Below are 16284 nucleotides of genomic sequence, written 5' to 3'. Positions count from 1 at the left end.
AGAGGTGAGATTGTCACAGCAGAAATGCAAAGAGAGAGAGAAATGGGCAGAGTCCACTTCTGTGGCTCCTAGACACAGCCCTGGTGGGATGTGGGAGGGGGACCCCACCTGCCACCACCGCCTGCATATCAGGCGCATCATGCAGTAGGAAAGATGTAGACAGCGGCTGTCCCTGCCAGCCGAACCTCCCATTCCAAGACCCAGTAAATGCATAAAGGCTCAGATCCAAAATGAAGGTAGGTGCTGAACCCCTGGCGGACTATAGGTGCCACTGGAGAGAATGGACCCTCATCTGTCCTTGTGTGGGATTTTTGGGTGTCAATTTTCTTCCCAGAAACCTCTGTGGCACCTGAGTTCTTGTCCTGCCTCCAGGAAGAATGAGGTCATGAGGTACACAGACAAGTGAAGGGTGAAGAAGATGCAGAGAAGCTTTATTGAATGCTAGAACAGCTCAGAGGTGATCTGCAGTGAGCTCCTCTCTGTAGGTAAGTCCTCCCCTCCCACTGAGTGTTCAGCTCTCAGCAGAGAAGGCCCTTGAGAGGGTAGCTCCTCTCTGCCCACTGGTCCTCCTGCCACCTGCTGCTCTCAGCAGACAGAAGTCCCTGGAGAGAGTGGCTCCTCTCCACAGGCAAGTTGTTCTGAACACCTCTGCAGGTCTCTGAAGCTCTCAGCAGAGAGGGTAGCTCCTCTCTGCAGCTGGCCATCCCATCGTTTCTCCATCCTCTGCCCTGCTCTGGCTGAGCCTCAGGCTTTTATGCACCTCAGAGGGGAGGAAGTGCATGCTGATTGGTCCATGGGCAGCCAGAGGGAGACACCACAAGTCCCCACTCCAGTCAGAGGGACTGGCAGCCAGGCCTTCAGGCCCTCCCTGGCCTGAAGGCGGGGCCTTACTGGGGACCCGCCTTCTCCCTCCAGGGACTCTGTCTGCCTCCCACTGCCATTTATGGTCCCTGGCTAGGCCCCAACCCCGCTCTGAGAGTGGGAGCAGAGAGAGGCCAGGCAGTGGGAAGCAGACAGCCCTGAGCCTGCAGGGATGGGGGTTGGGGGGCTGGGTACAGGGTGGTTCTTCCCAGGCCCTGGAGGTGCAGAATGCACAGATGCCGGGGTCCTGCTCCTGGGAGGGTGGCCGAAGCTGCACCCGGGGAGCTCCTGCCCCATCAATTCGGAAGGGGCAGGGCTCCTGCTTGTCCTGGCTCCTGCCTCCTCCGTGGAGCAGGAGGCTGAGGTCTGCAGCTGTGGGTTGGGTGGCTGCAGCTGCACGCAGAAGGGCAGATCCTGCCTGCCCCTGGCTCCCACCCAGGAGCTCAGGGAGGCTTGGATCCACAGCTGCAGTTTGGGTGGCTGTAGACCCACACAGGAGGGTTGGGATCCTGCCTGATCTGTACAGCAGGAGGCCTGGGTCTGCAGTCACAGTTTGGGTGACTGCAGCGGTACCCGGGGAGCTCCCGCCCCATCTCAGAAGGGGCAGAGCTCTTACTGGCTCCGTGAAGTATGCAGCCCCAGCCAGGCCTCCCTGCTGCAGCCCCTGTGATGGCAGCGGCCATCACGTGGAGGGAGGTGATTGGCACGTGTGGGGTAGGAAAGGCTAGGGGCTAGCCAGGCCAGCATGGAGCCATCACTTGGACAGCGGAGAACATGCCCCATTATATAGCTTCCGTGGTGCACAGCAGCCCTCACCATGAGGTCGTCTGAGGGAATTCTGGAGGGGCTAATGGGAGAATCCTCATCCCCAGGGCAAAGGCTATTCTCACGCCCAGCGTGGGCTACCAGTGGAGATAGAAGCAAAGTCATGCCAGCCTCGCAAGTAGTGAATTCCTCCTTTTCTGACGATCCCCCATCCACCTTCCCCGGCAGCCCACAACATGGCCCTTGAGCTTCCTTACTGCATTTTCATTTTCTCCTGTTCCGTTCTCCAGGGAGCTCACACTGACATTCTTGTGCCTGTCAGCTGGCACAGTGCCCCCCATTGTGCTTTGTCACACAGATAGAGACGTGCACAGGCACTGGGAGATAGGAGAGGCCCACTGCTGCCCTCACAGCCACAGGTGCTCATCTTTGGCTCCTGAGATTGTGGGGGCTGCAGGAGCCACACACACCCTCTACTCCCAAACAGCCTGACCTCGCCAAGGCAAGCCATTTTCGAGGGTGACTTGAGTGGTGCTGCCCAAAGGGATCAGCACGGAGCATCCCTAGCTCGGAGGAATTCCTTCACTGCAAGAAGTAGCCAGCACCTTCTCCTGACACACAGAAGTGGGTAGAATAAGGAGCTCCAGCTGCGGGCTTACGCCAGGTAGAGTGAGCATTGGTTATGGAGGAGACCCCGTGAGAACAGCGCTCATCTGAGTCCCGACCATTGGTTATGGAGGAGACCCTGTGAAAACAGTGCTCATCTGAGTCCCGACCATTTGTAGGAGGGAAGTGGGTTGGTGCCCTTATATTACACCTTTTCAGAGAGCCAGCCAAAACGCAGTTTGACAGGGTTTGAGTTGCATAAACAGGTGGTAATAATAATAATAATAAACTAGGGGGAGCTGAGCGTGGTGGCTCACGCCTGTAATCACAGCACTTTGAGAAGCTGAAACAAGGGTCTTGTTTGTGTCCAGGAGTTCGAGAGCCCAGAAGTTCTAGACCAGCCTGGGCAACACAGTGAAACCTTGTCTCCATTACAAATTAAAAACAAATAACCAGGTCGTTTCTTAAAGAGGGTGCTCTTGGTTATTCAAACCTGCTGTCCCCGGCAGACGGTGGGTTCTCCTGTTTCATCCACACTCTCTCCAGGCACCTTTAGGGAACAAATAATACTGTTTGCTTTAACAGGAGGAGAACTTTTGAAGAAAAAAATTATGTTAAATTTCCAAATAAGGCAAAAAGGTAGGTAACATGTCCTTTCAGTGTCATGTGGGCACTGGCCCAGCCACAGATTACTTATGGAAGTGTACTTTGATTACTGTTTGCCATTACTTAAAAACCCCAGATTTAGTGAATTTGCATAATTAACTTGTAGACTTTTGCCCAGTAGAGTTGCAAATAATTTTTTTCTTTTTTGAGACAGGGCCTTGCTCTGTCACCCAGGCTGGAGTACAGTGGCACAGTCACAGCTCACTGCAGCCTCAACCTCCCAGGCTCAAGTGATCCTCCCACCTCAGCCTCCCATGTCACTGGGACCACAGGTGACCAGCTAATTTTTTAATTTTTTCTTTATAGAGATGAGGTTCTCATTATGTTGCCCAGACCGGTCTCATACTCCTGGGCTCAAGCAATCCTCCCCCTTCAGCCTCCCAAAGTGCTGGGATTATATACACGAGCCACTGCATGCATCCAGATAATTTCTATCCAGTAGAAAAATACAACCCAAAAGGTTATGGTGTATCGCCTTCTAAGAGATTATCCAGTTCTGTAGATAAGGCAGCAGTCTTACCACAACGTTTCTGTATTAAACTGCCTCTAAATATCTAATTCCTTTTTTTAAAAAATAATTCCTGAAGTGCTTCCTGAACTAGTCTTTACCACGTCATTGGTTACCTCAAATTAAGGGACTGAATAAAATCTATTACACATGATCATTTTATAATTGAATGAGTCATGTTTTAAAAGTTTTTTGAAAATTGTACTTTGACAAGTTGTCAGCCTAGAAACAGCTTTTCTTACAAGTCCTCTGACCCTGGTCTTAATGAGCAGTGCCTGTCAGGACCCATCGGCCTGGCCTCACCAGGACTGTGTGCTCCCTGCGTCCCAATACACCCCCAGCAGAGCCAGGATCAAATAAGATCATATGGAAAATATTGTCAACTGGGCTTCAAACAGTGCCTTCCTTCTAAATACTAGAGGTCCTTTAATGCAAGAAATGTTTAAAAGAGTACTTTTTAAAGTATTTAAAAGAGTACTGTTATTATTTTATTACTTTCTAAAATGTTAGATTTGGGGATTAGGAGTTATCATTTGGCTTTTTTTTTTGAGACGGAGTCTTGCTCTGTCGCCCAGGCTGGAGTGCAGTGGCGTGATCTGGGCTCACTGCAAGATCTGCCTCCTGGGTTCACGCCCTTCTCCTGCCTCAGCCTCCCGAGTAGATGGGACTACAGGTACCCGCCACCATGCCCGGCTAATTTTCTGTATTTTTTTTTAGTAGAGATGGGGTTTCACCGTGTTAGCCAAGATGGTCTCCATCCCCTGACCTGGTGATCCACCTGCCTCGGCCTCCCAGTGTGCTGGGATTACAGGCGTGAGCCACCGCACCTGGCCTTGGCTTTTTTTTAAAGAGACAGGATTTCACTCTGCCAACTAGGCTGTACGTAATGCAGTCCAGTGATCCTAGCTCTCCGCAGCACTCTCCGAACTCCTGGGCTCAGGTGCTCCTTCTGCCTCAGCCTCCCCAGTGGCTGGGACTACAGGTGTGCACCACCACGCTGTGAGAGTCAGGGCTGCGAGTCATCAACACTGACTTACTGGGTCCTTACTATTTACACTTCCTCCAGGGTTACAGCTACATTTTTGAACAAATACCTTTCAACTAAGGAACTTTTACAAAACTTCAGAAGGGAAAAAATTATACTACTCATTAACAATTGTGGAAATAAAATACTTGAAACATTTCAAGCAAAATGAGCCTGTAACAAAATAAAGTGATGAGACATATAACACGTGAACCGGTGGTGAACAAAACCACCAAAACGAGTGAACAGAAAGTGGTGATATAAACAGATAACTTAAAGATAACGAAGTACCTGACAAACACAAGACAGAAGCCATGCAATTATTTCTCTGGTAAAACAAGACCTGGAAAGATAGGGAAAAGATGCAGAACGGAACATGGTTAGGAGATTGTTGCTTTTTACTACAGTGCTTTTTGTCAAATTTTACTCTTTAAACGTGAGCATGCATTACTTTCATAGGAATAAGTTTCCAGTAATTCAATGAGACTTTTTAGTCCTAGCCAATCTAGGATGTCAAGTCAGGTTTTAGGTGAGTAACTCAGCTAGGTTTTTGTTGGCTGTACGGTGTCCAGAATTCGTGGGTTCCTGGTCTCGCTGACTTCAAGAATGAAGCTGCAGACCCTCGCGCTGAGTGTTACAGTTCTTAAAGATGCTGTGTCTGGAGTTGTTCGTTCCTTCCGGTGGATTCGTAGTCTTGTTAGCCTTAGGAAGTGAAGCTGTAGACCTTCAAAGTGTTACACTTCACAAACACGGCGCGTCTGGAGTTATTTGTTCCTCCCATCTGGATTTGTTTGTCCCTCCCAGTGGGTTCGCCATCTGGCTAGTTTTAGGAACGAAGCTGCAAACCTTCCTGTGAGTGTAACAGCTCATAAAGGCACCATGCACCCAAAGAGTGAGCAGCAAGATTCACTGCAAACGGCAAAACAACAAACTTCCCACAGCGTCCAAGAGAACCGACCGAGTTACCACTGCTTGCTGGGGCAGCCTGCTTTTACTCCCTTATCTGACCCCTCCCACATCCTGCTGATTGGTCCATTTTACAGAGAGCTGATTGGCCCATTTTGACAGGGTGCTGACTGGTGCATCTACGAACCTTGAGCTAGACACAGAGTGCTGATTGGTGTGTTTACAATCCTTTAGCTAGACACAGAGTGCTGATTGGTGTGTTTACAATCCTTTAGCTAGACACAGAGTGCTGATTGGTGTGTTTACAATCCTTTAGCTAGACACAGAGTGCTGATTGGTGTGTTTACAATCCTTTAGCTAGACATAAAAGTTCTCCAAGTCCCACCGGACCCGGAAGCCCAGCTGGCTTCACCTCTCAATGGCACTCCGCGCAGACTTTGCGGCACCCAGCCCGGGCACTCCAGCAGCCCAGAGGGAGCTAGTTCCCCAATCAAGTCCAGTAGGCGCCGGCCGGTGTGGGGACCCGCAGAGCCCGCTCCCACCCGGAACCCCCGCCGGCCAGCGAGCGCCGCACGCAGCCCCGGCTCCCGCCAGGGCCTCTCCCTCCACAACTCCCCGGAGCAGAGGGAACCGGCTCCGGCCTCGGCCAGCCCCAGAGACAGGCTCCCACAGCGCAGCGCGGGCTGAAGGGCTCCTCCAGCGCGGCCAGAGCCGACTCCGAGGCGGAGGAGGCGCCCAGAGCGAACCAGGGCTGCTAGCACGTTGTCACCTCTCAGTATTAAGAGAGCTTAAACCGCAGAAGAGCCCACAAAATCAATCTCTCTCTCTCTCCCTCCTCTCTCCCTCCTCTCTTTCTCTCTCCTCTCTCTCTCTCTCTCTCTATCTCTCCTCACAAACACACAAATACCTCTGTATGTGTGTTTGTGTCTGTATGTGTGTAGCCAGCCCGTTCCCTGGTCAGGACCCTCCCTGACCTTTTTTTTCTTCCTTTCCTCCCAGGAGCTAAGTTTCTGATGCCTCCTTCAGCAACATTCCCTGAGCTGACCATTTTGTTCCTACACAATGCCCCTGCCTGCCCCAGCCTACACTCATGTCCTTCGTGACTATCACCTGCCAGTTCTTGGACTCATATTTACCACTCCCTGCAGGACACACAGGGAACCGGCCATCACCTCTGCCACTCACCGCATGCTCCTAGACTCTCTGCTCCCTCTGGTCCCTGGACTCAGCCCAGCCTCTACAACCCACTCTGCTTCCTCTCCTTGAGGCTCCTCAGGGCCATCTGTCCTTCCCCAGGCACAATAAGTGGGCCTAACTCCTTTTGAAAAAATTATTTCAATTAAAAAAATTTATTTATATAAACTTGGGGTGAAGTGCAGTTTTCATACATGGATATATTGCACAGTGGTGAAGTGTAGGCTTTTAGTGTAGCCATCACCCAAATAGTGTACACGGTATCCATGAAGGAATTTCTCATCCATCGTCCCTCTCCTATCTGCCCACCCTTCTGAGTCTCCAATGTCCATTATTCCACACTCTATGTTATCATGTTTTACTTTTTTCAGTTTATTTTTATTGTAGAGTAGCATTATAATTTTATATATTTATGGAGTACAAAGTGAGGTTGTTATATATATCACATACCTAGAATCATTGCATATATATTGCATAGGAATACACATAGACAATATAGGATGATTAAATCAAGCTAATTAATATATCTGTCATCTCAAATATTTATGATGAGAACACTTAAAAACTCCTAGCAATTTTCAAATATACAATATATTGTTATTAACTGCAAATACCATTATGTACAATAGACTCCTTGAACATATTCCTATCTAACTGAAATTTTGTATTCTGAGACCCCACATCTCCCCTATCATCCCCCACCCAGTCCCTAGTAACCACTGCTTTCTACTCTCTGCTTCTATGAGTTAAACTGTTTTAGATGCCACATGTGAATGAGGCCATGCAATGTTTGTCCTTCTTGTGCCTGGCTTATTTCATGTAGCACAATTTCCCTCCAGGTTCATCCAGTTGTTTCAAATGATAGAATTTCCTTCTTTTTATGGCTGAATAATATTCCATTATATATATATAATATATATATACACCATGTTTTCTTCATCAATTTATCTGTTGATGGACACTTGGGTTGATTCCATATTTTGGTTATTGTGGATAATGCTGCAATAAACACAATTACAGCTATCTCCTCGACACACTGATTTCCTTGGTTGCTGGATCATACGGTAATTGTATTTTTAGTTTTTTGAGGAATTTCTATACTGTTTTTAATAATAGCTATAGTAATTTATATCCCCACCAACAGTGTAGAAAAATTCCATTTACTTTATATCCTCTCCAACACTTCTTATCTTTCATTTCTTTGAAAATAACCATTCAAACAGCTAGAAAGTGATATCTCATTGTTGTCTTAATTTGCATTTATTTGATGATTAACGAGGATTAGCATTTTTTCATGTACTTGGCCATTTGTATGTCTTCTTTTGAGAAACATTTATTCAAGTCCTTTCCCCACTTTTAAATTGGGTTATCCTATGCTTTTGAGGTCATACCCAAAGTATCATTTCCCAGACCAATGTTGTGGAGTTTTCCTCTATGTTTTCTTCTAGTAGTTTTATAGTTTCAGATCTTATAATTAAACTTTAACCCATTTGGAGTTAATTTTGATATATGATGTGAGACAGGGGTCTAATTATTATTATTATTATTATTTTGCATGTGGGTATTCAGATTTCCTAATAGCCTTTATTAAAGGGACTGGTTGTTTTTTTGATATGTGTTCTTGGCACCTTTGTCCAAAATAAATTGACCATAACATCATGGGTTTGTTTCTGGGCTCTCTATTCTGTTCCATTGGTCTACATGTCTATTTTTATGCCAGGACCATGATGAATTACCATCATTTTGTAATACAGTTTGAAATCAATTATTGGGATGCCTTCACCTTGGTTCTATTTGCTCAAGATTGCCTTGGGTTTTGTCTTTTGTGGTTCCATATACATTTTAGGATATTTTTTCTATTTCTGTGAAAAAAAGACATTTCACCCATGAAACCATTAGTCTTGGGCTTTTTTGTTTGTTTGTTTTTGGATGCAAGATTTTTTTTTATTACTGATTCAATTTCCTCACTCATTATTGGTCTACTCAGATTTTCTATTTTTTCATTATTCTGTCTTGGTTGTGTGTTCAGGAATTTATCCATTTCTTCTAGGTTATTCAATTTTTAGCATACAATTTTTTATAACACTCTGTCATGATTCTTTGTATTTCTGTGGTATCAATTGTAATGTCTCCCTTTTCATCCCTGATTTTATTTATTTTAGTCTTCTCTCTTTTTTTTGTATTTGTCTTGCCAAAGGTATGTTGATTTTGTTTATGTTTTCAAAAAACTAAGCCTTTGTTTCATTGACCTTTTGTATTTTTGGTCTCTATTTCACTTATTTCTGCTCTAATAGCAATTATTTCTTTTCTGCTGCTAATTTGGGATTTAGTTTGTTTTTATTTTTCTAGTTCCTTGTGGTGCATATTAGGTTGTTTATTTGTGGTCTTTCTTCTTTTTTTAATGTGGGTTTTTTGTTTGTTTGTTTGTTTGTTTGAGTCAGAGTCTCACTCTGTTGCCCAGGCCGGAGTGCAGTGGGGGGATCTTGGCTCACTGCAAGCTCCGCCTCCCAGGTTCAAGGGATTCTTGTGCCTCAGCCTCCCAAGTAGCTGGGATTACAGGCATGTGCCACCATGCCCAGCTAATTTTTGTATTTTTAGTAGAGATAGGGTTTTGCCGTGTTGGCTGGGCTGGTCTCAGACACCTGGCCCCAAGTGATCCATCTGCCTCTCTCTCCCAAACTGCTACAATTATAGGCGTGAGCCACCACACATGGCTAATATACGTGTTTGTTGCTATAAACTTCCCTCTTAGAACTGCTTAGAACTGCATCTCAAAGGTTTTCGTATGTTGTGTTTTCAATTTTACCTGTTTAAATTTTTTTTTAATTTTTTAATTGATCCATTGGTTGTTGAGGAGCATGCTATTTAATTTCTATGTATTTACAAAGTTTACAAATTTCCTCCTGATGTTGACTTCTAGTTTTATACCATTGTGGTTAGAAAATATACTTGAAATGATTTAGATCTTAAATTTGTTAAAGCTTTGTTTTGTGGCCTAACATATGATCTGTTCAGGAGAATGTTCCATGTGCTATTGAGACAGATGTGTATTCTGCAGCTTTTGAGTGTCATTTTTTTGTCTGTTTGTTTGAGACAGAATCTTGCTTTGTCGTCCATGGTGGAGTGCAGTGGTGCGATCTTGGCTCGCTGCAACCTCCATCTTTCAAGTTCAGGCGATTCTCGTGCCTCAGCCACTCAAGTAACTGGGATGACAGCAGTGCGCCACCATGCCCAACTGATTTTTGTATTTTTAGTAGAGACGGGGTTTCGCCATGTTGGCCAGGTTTGTCTCTAACTCCTGGGCTCTAATGATCCGCCTGCCTCAGCCTCCCAAAGTGCTGGGATTATAGGCATGCACCACCGCGCCCGGCCTTGAGCGGCACGTTCTGTAAATGTCTGATAGGTTCATTTAGTCTAGTGTGTGGTTTAAATCTGATGTTTCTTTGTTTGTATCCTGTCTGATGATCTGGCCATTGCTAAGAGCGTGATGCTGAAGTCTCCCGCTATTGAGACTGAAGGGAAGTGCTGGGAAGGGAAGAGCATGGTCCCTTTAAATGATACGGAAGGGGGAAGGGAAGCGCTGGGTAGAGGAGGGCGTGACTAGGGCTCCACCCCTAAGGATCTAGGTGTGGACAGGCGTTTCCTGCCCACATGTTGCGTTTCCCAAGACCACCCTGGCCTGCCACGCCCCCAACCTGTGCCTATAAACCTCCCAGACCCCAGCAGGCAGACACACAGGTGGGGTGGACGTCTGGAGAAACTGGCGCGGAAGGCCAGTGACCAGCAGAAGCACAGTGATGCAGAGTTTTGCTGGGGCAGTTGGAAATGAGCCCAGGACGCTGAGTGGCCTGACTCCAGGGGAAAACCTTCCCACTCCAAGTTGAGCTGGTTAACACAAGCCGCCTATATAGACTGCAAAACTAAAAGAACACCCTCTAACACACGTCCACTGGGGCTTCCGGAGCTGTAAGCGTTCACCTCTAGACACTGCCTGGGTTCGGAGCCCCACAGCCTGCCCGTCTCATATGCTCCCTTAGAGGTATGAGCAGCGGGGCACTGAAGGAGTGAGCCACAAGCCCTGCTTTGGGGACAAGGGGCGTTTTCCCCGTTTCACTATTATTGTATCGTAGTACTGTATTATTGCCATCTCTTTTTAAATTTAATAATGATTGCTTATTTGCTTCACTGTTGGGTGTACATGTATTTACTATTGTTATACTTGTTGAATTGACCTCTATTATTATATAATGACTTTGTCTCTTTTTATCTTACGTGAACTTAGCTACTCCTATTCTTGTTTCCCACTTATGTGGAATATTATTTTCCATTCCTTCATTTTTCATTTATATGTGTCCTTACAGGTGATGTGAGTTTTTTGTGGGCAGCATATAGTTGGATCTTTTTTAAAAAAAAATCCTTTCAGCCACTCTATATCTTTTTTTTTTTTTTTTTTTTTTTTGAGACGGAGTCTCGCTCTGTCGCCCAGGCTGGAGTGCAGTGGCGTGATCTCGGCTCACTGCAAGCTCCGCCTCCCGGGTTCACGCCATTCTCCTGCCTCAGCCTCCCGAGTAGCTGGGACTACAGGTGCCTGCCACCCCGGCTAATTTTTGGTATTTTTAGTAGAGTCAGGGTTTCACCGTGTTAGCCAGGATGGTCTCCATCTCCTGACCTCGTGATCCGCCCACCTCAGCCTCCCAAAGTGCTGGGATTATAGGCGTGAGCCACCGCGCCCGGCCCACTCTATATCTTTTAATTGAAGCATTTAATCCATTTATATTCAAGGTTATTATTGATAGGTAAGAACTTGCCCCAGCCATTTTGTTAATTTCTGATTGTTTTATAGATCCTTTGTTTCTTTTTATTAGTTCCATTTGCGATTTGTTGGTTTTCTGTAGTGATAAGCTTTGATTCCTTTTACTTTTCATTTGTGTATCTGCTGTAATTTTTTCTTTGTGGTTACTCTGGGACTTACATAAAAATCTTCCAGTTTTAATAGACTTTTAAACTGATACCAACTTAACTTTTGTCACAAATACTCTAGACTTTTCCTCTCTCACAATTGATAATCTTGTGGCTTCAATTTAGATCTTTCTATACTGTGTGTTCCTTAACAATTTATAGTTATCACTGATCGTTTTGATGTTTTATACTGGAGATCTGAAAGATCTCCATTTCAGTAATATAGTATTCTGAATTTGATTATTAATTTATGTCTACCAGTGAGGATTATACCTTCATATGTTTTCATGTTAGTAGTTATTGTCCTTTCACTTCCAGATGAAGCACTTTATTTATTTATTTATTTTTTGAGATGGAGTCTTGCTCTGTTGCCCAGGCTGGAGTGCAGTGGCGTGATCTCTGCTCACTGCAAACTCTGCCTCCCGGGTTCACACCCTTCTCCTGCCTCAGCCTCCCAAGTAGCTGGAACTACAGGCACCCGCCACCACTCCCGGCTAATTTTTTGTATTTTTAGTAGAGATGGGGTTTCACCGTATTAGCCAGGATGGTCTCGATCTCCTGACTTCGTGATCCTCCCGCCTTGGCCTCCTAAAGTGCTGGGATTACAGGAGTGAGCCACCGTGCCCGGCTGATGAAGCACTTTCTTAAACGTTTCTTGTAATGCCAGTCTTGTGGTGATGAATTCTCTCTGCTTTTGCTTGTCTGGGAAATACTTTATTTCTGAGGTATATCTCTGCTGGGTCTATTATTCTTGGCTAACATTTTTCTTTTAGCACTTGGAATAAATCATCCCTTTCCCTCCTATTCTGCAAGATTTCTGCTAAGAAATGCGCTGACAGTCTATTGTAGCTTGCCTTATATGTAATTTGTTACTTTTCTCTTGCTGATTTTACAACTCTGTCTTTGTTGTTGATTTCTGACAGTTTGAATATAATATACCTCAAAGATCCATTTGGATTGAATCTATAAAGGGTCCTTTAAGATTTATGGGTCTGGTCGTTCATATCTCTTCCAAGGCTTGGGCAGATTTCATCTATTATTTTGTTAAATAAGCTTTCTGTGCCTTTCACCATCTCTTCTTCCTCTAGAACTCTCATAATGCAAAAGTTTCTTTGCTTAATAGTCATTTAAGTCCTGTAGGCTTTCTTTGTTCTTTTTCATTTTTTTTCCTTTTTCATTCCTCTGACTAGGTTACTTCAATGGGTGCAGCACACCAACATGGCACATGTATACATATGTAACAAACCTGCACGTTGTGCACATGTACCCTAAAACTTAAAGTATGATTAAAAAAAAAAAAAAGACCTGTCTTTGAGTTTAGAAATTCTTCCTTCTGTTTGATATAGCCTGTTGTGAAGCTCCCAATTACATTTTTTTTTTTTGTCATCGAATTCTTCAGTTCCAAGATTTCTATTTGGTTCTTTATGATTTCTATCTCTGTTGAATTTTCTATTCAGGTCATAGCTTATTTTTTCATTTTATTGTCTATCTGTATTCTCTTGCTTCTCACTGCATTTCTTAAGATCATTATTTTGAATTCCTTTTCAGGCAATTCATAACTTTCCATTTCTTCGGGGTCAGTTACTAGAGAATTATTGTCCTCTTTCATTGACTTCATGTTTCCTTTTTCATGTTTCCTGTGTCCCTGCATTAACACCTGTGGATCTGGTGCAATGGTTGCCTTCTCTGATATTATGGAGTGGCTTTTGCAGGGAAAGTTTTGCCTGCAGATATGTCTTAGAGTGTCATTTGGGTAGGGTTCATTGGCTTTGGTTTTGAATGGGCGCAGTAGTCTCTGTGCAGTTTTTCAGCTGTAGTGGTCTAGGCTGCAGAAGTTTACGCAGCTGGTCTGCCAGATCTGAATGGGGATTGCCTGGGAGTTGTGTGCCTCACCAGTAAGTGCAGGGGCCAACCTGCCTATGATTGGGACCACCAGGGATGCAACACCCTGGCTGGTGAGTGTGCTAGTGGTGCACAGGGGCTGATCTGCTGGCTTGGGGTGGGGCTTTCTTGGGAGTGGTTCACTTGACTGATGAGCACATGGCTGCAGGCATTGACAGGTCCATCAGCTCATAGCCAGGCTCCCCTGGGTGGAGTGCCTGGCTGGTGAACATGCTGGCTGCATGCATTGACAGGTCTGCTGGCTCATAGCAGGGCTTCCCTGGGAGCAGCACACTGGCCTGATGAGTATGCCTGCAGTGCATGGGGGCCAATTTACTGGCTCAGGGCCAGGCTCCCGTGGAAGTGGCATGTTTGGCTGGTGAGCATGGTGGTGGCATATGGGGATCCATATGCCATTTGCTGGCTTGGGGTGGGGTCCCCCTGGAAGTGATGTGCACAGTTGGTGAACATGCAGGTGGCATGCAGGAGCTAGTTTGCCAGTTTGGGGATGAGGTCCCCCTAGAAGTGGTGCACCAGACTGGTGATTGCACCAGGATACATGAGGGCCTCCTGGCTCAGATTCACCAGCTCACCTGGCTACTGAGTGTGCTGAATGTGTACACAGCTGGTAAAGACTCAGCTTCTTTGCTGAGCAGGATTGTCTCTACTTTTACAGGCAGAGTGTCATGTGGATTCTGGTGCTGGGGTGCTGGGCCTAGGTTCTGAAGAGCTGAAGTTGGGGCTCTGCAGTCATTAGGATGCAGAAGGTGGGGCACCTCCTTGGTAGCTTATTCCCAGGAAGTAGTAACCTGTAGAAGCTTGGCTGGGGAATGGTGCAGTACTATGTGTAAACATGATGTAATGGCTGCATACCCTCAGAGATGAAAAGGTGCAGTGGTTACAGGCTCCTGCAGCAGGATGCACTGTGGCTGTGGATCCAGTATCAAGATGGTGCCATACAGCTGCAGCTTTGGTAATGTGTTAGGGAGTGGGCTACAATGTGGGCTCCTTCTCTGGGGTAGTGCAGTTCAGGGATGCCAGGCAGCTCCCCCAACGGGGCTCAGGGCCTGTGGGCGCTGCAGGATTCTCTAGCAGCAAAGATTGCAGGTATCTGTGATATCAGTGGGGATTCCTGGGGGCCTCCTGGTTACCTTTTTCCTGCTGGGGGAAGTGCCTTTTTTTTTGAGTTAATCCTGGCTGGGAAGACAGTGTAGCAGAGGCTGAGTGTCCTCATTTTGCTTCTATGCAGCCCTTCCAAACGGTCTAGTTACATCATGTTTCCTGTCTTTTCCTGCTGTACGCCAGCATTCTCCCTTATACACTACAGTGCAAGTGTAGTTATTTATTCATCATTTGGGTCCTGTTTTTTTTTTTTTTTTTTGGTGTGGGGAGTACAGGCATTAGGGTCCTCTAGCAAACCATCTTTTGAACTCATCCTTTTTATCAGGAACTCACTGCTGTGATTACTGATCCACTCCTGTGATAATAGCATTAATCTCAGAACCATAAGACAAGGCAATTATAAATTTTTAAAAATAGCTGCATTAATCTATTCATGAGACCAGAGAGTCCTTATGACTTAATCACCCCTTAAAAGTCCCATCACTTAACACTGTTACAATGGCAATTAAGTTTCAACATGAATTTTGGCAGGGACATTTAAACTATAGCACAGTATATAGTTGGGCCTTTTTAAAAAAATTCATTCAGCCATTACTTTTTTTGAATGGAGAATTTAATTCATTTTCATTCAAAGTAAATACTGTTAAGTATTTACTATTACCGTTTTGTAATTTTTGTTTTGTAGATCCTTTTTTTCTTTCTTTCTTTTTTAGTCTCCCTTTGTAGTTTTATAGTTCTTTTGTAGTGGTATACTCTGAATCCTATTTATGTTTTGTTTTGTGCATCTACTATGTGTTTTTGCTTTGTGGTTATCATGAGGTTTAACTAAAATATCTAACAGTTGTACATTTTTGTCCCCTACACACACACATTTTATCTTTTGATATCAGAATTTATGTAATCTTGTAATTTGTATTCCTTAACAATTTATTTTTTAATAGTTTTGTCTCTTAACCGTCATACTAGAGATAAAATTGCTTTAACACCACCTTTCTAGTCCTAGAGTTTTCTGAATATGACTCGGTTACCAGTACCATTGTTTTGTGCTTTCATGTGTTTTATGGTATTCATCAGTGGCCTTTCATTTCAGTGTAAAGCACTCTCTTTCCTGTAAGTCAGGCATAGTAGTGATGAATTCTCTTAGCTTTTGTTTGTCTGGGAAAGATCTCTCAGCACAAACACTACTGAGGAGAGAGTGGGATGATACATTCAAAGTGAAGAAAAAATAACCAAGAATACTTTACCCAGAAAAGTTGTCCTTTAGAAATGAGAGAGAAATAAAATCTTTCCCAGACAAACAAAAGCTAAGAGAATTCATCACTACTGTGCCTTAGGAGAGAGTGTGATGATACACTCAAAGTGAAGAAAAATAACCAAGACTAGTTTACCCAGCAAAGTTGTCCTTTAGAAATGAGGGAGAAATAAAATATTTCCCAGACAAACAAAAGCTAAGAGAATTTATCACTACTATGCCTGACTTACAGGAAAGAGAGTGCTTTACACTGAAACGAAAGGCCACTCCCTCATTTCTAAAGGACAACTTTGCTGGGTAAAGTATTCTTGGTTATTTTTTCTTCATTTTGAATGTATCATCCCACTCTCTCCTCAGCAGTATTTCTGCTGAGAGATCTGCTGATGGCTGTATTGATATTTCCTTGTATGTGGTATGTTTCTAATCTCTTTGCTTTGAATTTTCCTTTGCTTTTTGGTAGTTTGACTATTATGTGTCTTGGTGAACTCTTCTTCAGTTTAAATTTAATTGGGGACCCCTGAGCTTCCTGTACCTGAATGT

At 44.8% G+C, this 16284-nt stretch overlaps 2 annotated features.

Moving 5' to 3' along the window:
* Positions 708–1634: an enhancer, noted in NCBI's record as "H3K4me1 hESC enhancer chr5:180463783-180464709 (GRCh37/hg19 assembly coordinates)". NCBI's record gives its function as "activates a minimal SCP1, AML or CMV promoter by ChIP-STARR-seq in naive H9 embryonic stem cells {active_cell/tissue: H9 hESC(naive)}" and the evidence as "EXISTENCE:reporter gene assay evidence [ECO:0000049][PMID:30033119]".
* Positions 1879–2257: a silencer, noted in NCBI's record as "fragment chr5:180463160-180463538 (GRCh37/hg19 assembly coordinates)". NCBI's record gives its function as "represses an EF-1alpha promoter that drives an FKBP-Casp9 reporter gene in an ReSE screen in phorbol 12-myristate 13-acetate-treated (for megakaryocytic differentiation) K562 erythroleukemia cells {active_cell/tissue: K562(+PMA)}" and the evidence as "EXISTENCE:reporter gene assay evidence [ECO:0000049][PMID:32094911]".

Source organism: Homo sapiens, chromosome 5 (assembly GCF_000001405.40).
Source record: "Homo sapiens chromosome 5, GRCh38.p14 Primary Assembly".
Taxonomy (NCBI): domain Eukaryota; kingdom Metazoa; phylum Chordata; class Mammalia; order Primates; family Hominidae; genus Homo; species Homo sapiens.
Note: the sequence above shows the minus strand (reverse complement) of the source record. Positions and strands in the feature narration are given on the sequence as shown.